At 40.5% G+C, this 7,007-nt stretch overlaps 2 annotated features.

Annotated features, from left to right (window-relative positions):
- Positions 3,812-4,416: an enhancer, noted in NCBI's record as "H3K27ac-H3K4me1 hESC enhancer chrX:97170546-97171150 (GRCh37/hg19 assembly coordinates)". NCBI's record gives its function as "activates a minimal SCP1, AML or CMV promoter by ChIP-STARR-seq in naive and primed H9 embryonic stem cells {active_cell/tissue: H9 hESC(naive and primed)}" and the evidence as "EXISTENCE:reporter gene assay evidence [ECO:0000049][PMID:30033119]".
- Positions 4,417-5,022: an enhancer, noted in NCBI's record as "H3K27ac-H3K4me1 hESC enhancer chrX:97169940-97170545 (GRCh37/hg19 assembly coordinates)". NCBI's record gives its function as "activates a minimal SCP1, AML or CMV promoter by ChIP-STARR-seq in primed H9 embryonic stem cells {active_cell/tissue: H9 hESC(primed)}" and the evidence as "EXISTENCE:reporter gene assay evidence [ECO:0000049][PMID:30033119]".

Here is a 7,007-nt window from a genome sequence, read left to right as displayed (position 1 = left end):
AAGTTGTATTCCTAGGTATTTTATTGTCTTTGAAGCAGTTGTGAATGGGAGTTCACTCATGATTTGGCTCTCTGTTTGTCTGTTATTGGTGTATAAGAATGCTTGTGATTTTTGCACATTGATTTTGTATCCTGAAACTTTGCTGAAGTTGCTTATCAGCTTAAGGAGATTTGGGGCTGAGACAATGGGGTTTTCTAAATATACAATCATGTAATCTACAAACAGAGGCAATTTGAGTTCCTCTCTTCCTATTTGAATACCCTTTATTTCTTTCTCTTGCCTGATTGCCCTGGCCAGAACTTCCAACACTATGTTGAATAGAAGTGGTGAGGAGGGCATCCTTGTCTTGTGCCAGTTTTCAAAGGGAATGCCTTCAGCTTTTGCCCATTCAGTATGATATTGGCTGTGGGATTGTCATAAAGTGCTCTTATTATTTTGAGATACGTTCCATCAATACCTAGTTTATTGAGAGTTTTTAGCATGAAGGGCTGTTGAATTTTGTTGAAGGTCTTTTCTGCATCTATTGAGGTTTTTGTCACTGGTTCTGTTTATGTGATGGGTTATGTTTATTGATTTGCATATGTTGAACTAGCCTTGCATCCCAGCGATGAAGCCAACTTGATTGTGGTGGATAAGCTTTTTGATACACTGCTGGATTTGGATTGCCAGTATTTTATTGATGATTTTTGCATTGATGTTCATCAGGGATATTGGTCTGACATTTTCTTTTTTTGTTGTGTCTCTGCCAGGTTTTGCTATCAGGATGATGCTGGCCTCATAAAATGAGTTAAGGAGAAGTCCCTCTTTTTCTATTGTTTGGAATAGTTTCAGAAGGAGTGGTACCAGCTCTTCTTTGTACCTTTGGTAGAATTTGGCTGTGAATCTGTCTGATCTGGGGCTTTTTTTGGGTGGTAGGCTATTACTTACTGCCTCAATTTCAGAACTTGTTATTGGTCTATTCAGGGATTTAGCTTCTTCCTGGTTTAATCCTGGGAGGGTGTATGTGTCCAGGAATTTATCCATTTCTTCTAGATTTTCTAGTTTATTTGCATAGAGGTGTTTATAGTATTCTCTGATGGTAGTTTGTATTTCTGTGAGATTGGTGGTGATATCCTATTTATCATTTTTTATAGCGTCTATTTGAGTCTTCTCTCTTTTCCTCTTTATTAGTCTTGCTAGCGGTCTATCACTTTCGTTGATCTTTTCAAAAAACCAGCTCCTGGATTCACTGATTTTTTGCAGGGCTTTTTGCGTCTGTATCTCCTTCAGTTCTGCTCTGATCTTAGTTATTTCTTGTCTTCTGCTAGCTTTTGAATTTGTTTGCTGTTGCTTCTCTAGTTCTTTTAATTGTGATGTTATGCTGTCAATTTTAGATCTTTCTTGCTTTCTCCTGTGGACATTTAGTACTATTAATTTCCCTCTAAACACTTCTTTAGCTGTGTTCCACAGATTGTGATAGGTTGTATCTTTGTTCTCATTGGTTTTAAAGAACTTATTTACTTCTGCCTTAATTTCATTATTTACCCAGTAGTCATACAGGCACAAGTTGTTCAGTCTCCACGTAGTTATGCAGTTTTGAGTGAGTTTCTTAATCCTGAGTTCTAATTTGATTGCATTGTGGTCTGAGAGACTGTTTGTTATGACTTCCATTCTTTTGCATTTGCTGAGGAGTGTTTTACTTTGAATTATGTGGTCATTTTTAGAATAAGTGTGAAGTGGTGCTGAGAAGAATGTATATTCTATTGATTTGGAGTGGAGAGGTCTGTAGATGTCTATTAGGTCCGCTTGGTCCAGAGCTGAGTTCCAGTCCTGAATATCCTTGTTAATTTTCTGTCTCGTTGATCTGTCTAATATTGACAGTGGGGTGTTAAAGTCTCCCACTATTATTGTGTGGGAGTCTAAGTCTCTTTATATGTTCCTAAGGACTTGCTTTATGAATCTGGGTTCTCCTGTATTGGGTGCATATATATTTAGGATAGTTAGCTCTTCTTGTTGCATTGATCCCTTTACCATTATGTAATGCCCTTCTTTGTCTTTTTTGATCTTTGTTGGTTTAAAGTCTGTTTTATCAGAGACTAGGATTGCAACCCCTGCTTTTTTTGCTTTCCATTTGCTTGGTAAATATTCCTCCATCCCTTTATTTTGAGTCTATGTGTGTCTTTGCACATCGGATGGGTCTCCTGAATACCGCACACTGATGAGTCTTGACTCTTTATTCAATTTGCCAGTCTCTGTCTTTTAATTGGGGCATTTGGCCCATTTACATTTAAGTTTAATATTGTTATGTGTGTTTGATCCTGTCATTATGGTGCTGGCTGGTTATTTTGCCCATTAGTTGATGTAGTTTCTTCATAGTGTTGATGGTCTTTACAATTTTGTATGTTTTTCAGTGGCTGACACTGGTTTTTCCTTTCCATATTTAGTGCTTCCTTTAGGAGCTCTTGTAAGGCAGGCCTGGTGGTGACAAAGTCTCTCAGCATTTGCTTGTCTGTAAAGGATTTTATTTCTCCTTCACTTTTGAAGCTTAGTGTGGCTGGATATGAAATTCTGGGTTGAAAATTCTTTTCTTTAAGAATGTTAACCTGTAATCCCAGCAGTTTAGGAGGCCAAGGCAGGTGGATCCCGAGGTCAGGATATCAAGACCATCCTGGCTAACATGGTGAAACCCGATCTCTACTAAAAAAATACAAAAAATTAGCCGGGCGTGGTGGTGGGCGCCTGTAGTCCCAGCTACTCGGGAGGCTAAGGCAGGAGAGTGGCATGAACCCGGGTGGTGGAGCTTGCAGTAAGCCAAGATCATGCCGCTGCACTCCAGCGTGGGCGACAGAGCGAGACTCCGTCTCAAAAAGAAAAAAAAAAAAGGAATGTTGAATATTGGCACCTACTCCCTTCTGGCTTGTAGGGTTTCTGCAGAAAGATCTGCTGTTAGTCTGATGGGTTTCCCTTTGTGGGTAACCCAAGCTTTCTCTCTGGCTGCTGTTAACATTTTTTCCTTCATTTCAACCTTGGTGAATCTGACAATTATGTATCTTGGGATTGCTCTTCTTGAAGAGTATCTTTGTGGTGTTCTCTGTATTTCCTAAATTTGAATGTTGGCCTGTCTTGCTAGGTTGGGGAAGTTCTCCTGGATAATATCCTGAAGAGTGTTTTCCAACTTTGTTCCATTCTCCCTGTCATTATTCAGGTATACCAATGAAATGTAGGTTCGGTCTTTTCACATAGTCCCATATTTCTTGGAGGTTTTGTTCATTCCTTTTCATTCATTTTTTCTCCAATCTTCTCTTCGTGCATTATTTCATTAAGTTGATCTTCTAGCTCTGATATACTTTCTTCCGCTTGATTGATTTGGCTATTGATACTTTTGTGTGCTTCATGAAGTTCTCATGCTGTGTTTTTCAGCTCCATCAGGTCATTTATGTTCTCTAAACTGGTTATCTAGTTAGCAATTCCTCTAACCTTTTTTCTAGGTTCTTAGCTTCCTTGCATTGAGTTAGAACATGCTCCTTTAGCTCAGAGGAGTTTGTTATTACCCACCTTCTGAAGCCTACTTCTGTCAGTTTGTTAAACTCATTCTCCATCCAGTTTTGTTCCCTTACTAGTGAGGACTTGTTATCCTTTGGAAAAGAGGCATTCTGGTTTTTGGAATTTCCAGCATTTTTATGCTGGTTTTTCCTCATCTCCGTGGATTTTTCTACCTTTGGTCTTTCATGTTGGTGACCTTTGGATGGGGTTTCTGTGTGGATGTCCTTTTTGGTGATGCTGATGCAATTTCTTTCTGTTTGTTAGTTTTCCTTCTAACAGGCCTGTCTGCTACAGGTCTGCTAGAGTGTGCTGGAGGCCCACTCCAGACCCTATTTGCCTGGGTATCACCAGCAGAGGCTGCAGAACAGCAAAGATTGCTGCCTGTTCCTTCGTCTGGAAGCTTCATCACAGAGGGGCACCCTCCAGATGCCAGCCGACGCTGTCCTGTACGAGGTGTCTGTCCAACCCTGCTGGAAGGTGTCTCCCAGTCAGGAAGCACAGGGGTCAGGGACCCACTTGAGGAGGCAGAGTGTCCCTTAGCAGAGCTTGAGCACTGTGCTGGGAGATCTGCTTCTCTCTTCAGAGCCAGCAGGCAGGAGCATTTAAGTCTGCGGAAGCTGCACCCACAGCCACCCCTTCCCCCAAGTGCTCTGTCCCAGGGAGAGGGGAGTTTTATCTATAAACCCCTGACTGCGGCTGCTGCCTTTCTTTCTGAGATGCCCTGCCCAGAGAGGAGGAATCTAGAGAGGCTACAGTGGCTTTGTCAAGCTGCGGTGGGCTCAGCCCAGTTTGAACTTCAAGGCGGCTCTGTTTACACTACGAGGGGAAAACCGCCTATGCAAGCCTCAGTCATGGCGGACGCCCCTCACCCCACCAAGCTCAAGCGTCCCAGGTCATCTTTAGACTGCAATGCTGGCAGCAAGAATTTCAAGCCAGTGGATCCTAGCTTGCTGGACTCCATAGGGGTGGGATCCGCTGAGCTAGACCACTTGGCTCCCTGGCTTCAGCCCCCTTTCCAGGGGAGTAAATGGTTCTGTCTCGCTGGTGTTCCAAGCACCACTGGGGTATGAAAAAAAACTCCTGCAGCTAGTTCAGTGTCTGCCCAAATGGTCACTCAGTTTTGTGCTTCAAACCCAGGGCCCTGGGGGGTGTAGCCAGCAGAGGGAATCTCCTGGTCTGTGGGTTGCGAGGACCGTGGCAAAAGCATAGTATCTGGGCTGGATTGCACCATTCCTCATGGCACAGTCCCTCATGGCTTCCATTGGCTAGGGAAGGGAGCTCCCTGATCCCTTGTGCTTCCCAGGTGAGGCAATGCCCCACCCTCCTTCGGCTTGCTCTCCGTGGGCTGCACCCACTGTCTAACCAGACCCAATGAGATGATCCGGGTACCTCAGTTGGAAATGCAGAAATCACCCACCTTCTGCATTGATCTCGCTGGGAGCTGCAGACCAGAGCTGTTCTTATCGGCCATCTTGCGAGCCCTACTCCTGTTATGTTATTTTTACAGATGAGGAAACAGGCTTGGTAACACGGAGCATTTTGGTCAAAGCTGCCCAGCTAGTAAGCAACAGAACCAGACTTAAAACCCAAGCTGTCTTACTCCAGAGACTGAGTTCCTAACCAATACATGACAATTATTTTTAGAGCATATAGCTAAATAAGTGGCACTGTCAGTAAATATTTAAGAATACAGAAGAGGAAGAAAATTTTTCCTCTAGGCTAAAAATGATAAATATATATATATATATATATATATATAGATGTGAATTTTCATTAATATGTAAAGTTTAGTTGTACTTTGGAGCAAATGAGCTTGATATATTAAAATGGAAACTTGAAAATAGAACCATTAGAATATAAACATTTGCATTACAAAGGTTTATTTGCTTTACAAAGAATCATCACAGAGTGCTGGCTTCCACAGCACATATACTAAAAACAATCATCACAGGTTTCCTTTAAGTAACAGTATTCTCCATTGTGCTCAGAATACAATTGGCTCCCTCCCCACAAAGTAAAGAAAGAAATTAAAATACACAATGTTTCAGTAATATGACTATTTTATACAACAGGATACAACTTTACTAAATTTCATATGCAAACTCTGAGGCCTTTAACAATACCAAATAGATAAGAAAAAAAAAAACTTAGTAATCATCTTATCTGACTCCCTCATTTTATACATGAGAAAATGGAAGCTCAAGAGAAGTGATTTGGCCAGAATTTTACAGCTAGTTAGTTAATGGCACCTTCATTAGGGGTTTGCAAACCCCATGTCCTTTGTCTTCCCACCCAGTTTTCTTTAAAACTATACCGCCTCACTGTTCTTTAATAAGAAACAAAAATAACATCAATACATGTTAGGTAACATATACTTACTTCTCTATTGTTTTAATGCATGGACATATGTGATCCTAAATATGAGAAGATTAGGAAGCAATGAAGTATCCCGTATTTACTTGGAAACTCCTATTGCAACAACTCAAGTTTCATGTGTTTCTCTCATCCAATTTCTCTCACCTTGTTAGGGTCTCCGTTCATGTGTCTGAAAACTAAAAGGGTATTTTGTTGGTTCTGTGACTACATCCCTTTATCAGTGGACTCTCACATGTTTCAAATGTGATGTCAAATGTGTGTAGTTGCTTTACATAAGTGATTGAGAAAAGCTTTCTCTAATTCACCAGGCGCAATAGAGTTACTGTATAAATTATTGGAGTAATACTTATAAAAGGTCAAAGGTAAAACTGTCTATTTTCACTCCTGATTTCTCTGGAGCATAATATAAGCAGTAGATAGGTGAGGTATGAAAATAAGTTATAAAGTCCCAAGAAGAATTTTCACGTGGATGATCATAGATGAAGTATAAGCACTGACTCTCTTGAACTGTGGTGGATCTAACAGTCTATAGTCTATGTGACCAGAATTTCTATCAAGTCAATATCCAGTCCTCACTCTTAGGGGTATTTGACTCATACCATTTATATTTTGGTCTGGTTCATTAAACATATAATTTATTGGTTATTAAAATGCCCTGCAGTATTTTTCCATTATAGAAAAATATAAAAAGTGATTTATGCAGCTTGTGTGTAAATTGATACATGTCATAAAGACAAGAGTAGTAATTTGTTTCCAAACAGTATTTCTTTACTATCGGAACCGGCTACAGCTTTCAAAGCCTAATCACATAGAAAACTTGATTAAATCTGCCAGTTGTATTGGTTTGTATGCAAAATGCTCCCTTCATAAAATCTATTGCTCTAGACAGTATGTACTACTCTTTTAGCCTTTGGTCACAGGATGCACCTGTACAAATTGATATATAAAAATGGACCTATCAAGGAAAAGAAAAATTCTTGGCCCACATGAGGTTACCTATTTCATGCTTTATTTCCCCAGCAGTCATTTCTAGCAGCAGGGCAGACAAAACTGAAGACAAATGGTGAATCAAAGGAAGGACAAAATGAAATGAAAATGAAGGACAAAAA

Source organism: Homo sapiens, chromosome X, assembly GCF_000001405.40.
Source record: "Homo sapiens chromosome X, GRCh38.p14 Primary Assembly".
Classification (NCBI taxonomy): Eukaryota; Metazoa; Chordata; class Mammalia; order Primates; family Hominidae; genus Homo; species Homo sapiens.
This window is presented reverse-complemented; position numbering and strand designations above follow the sequence as displayed.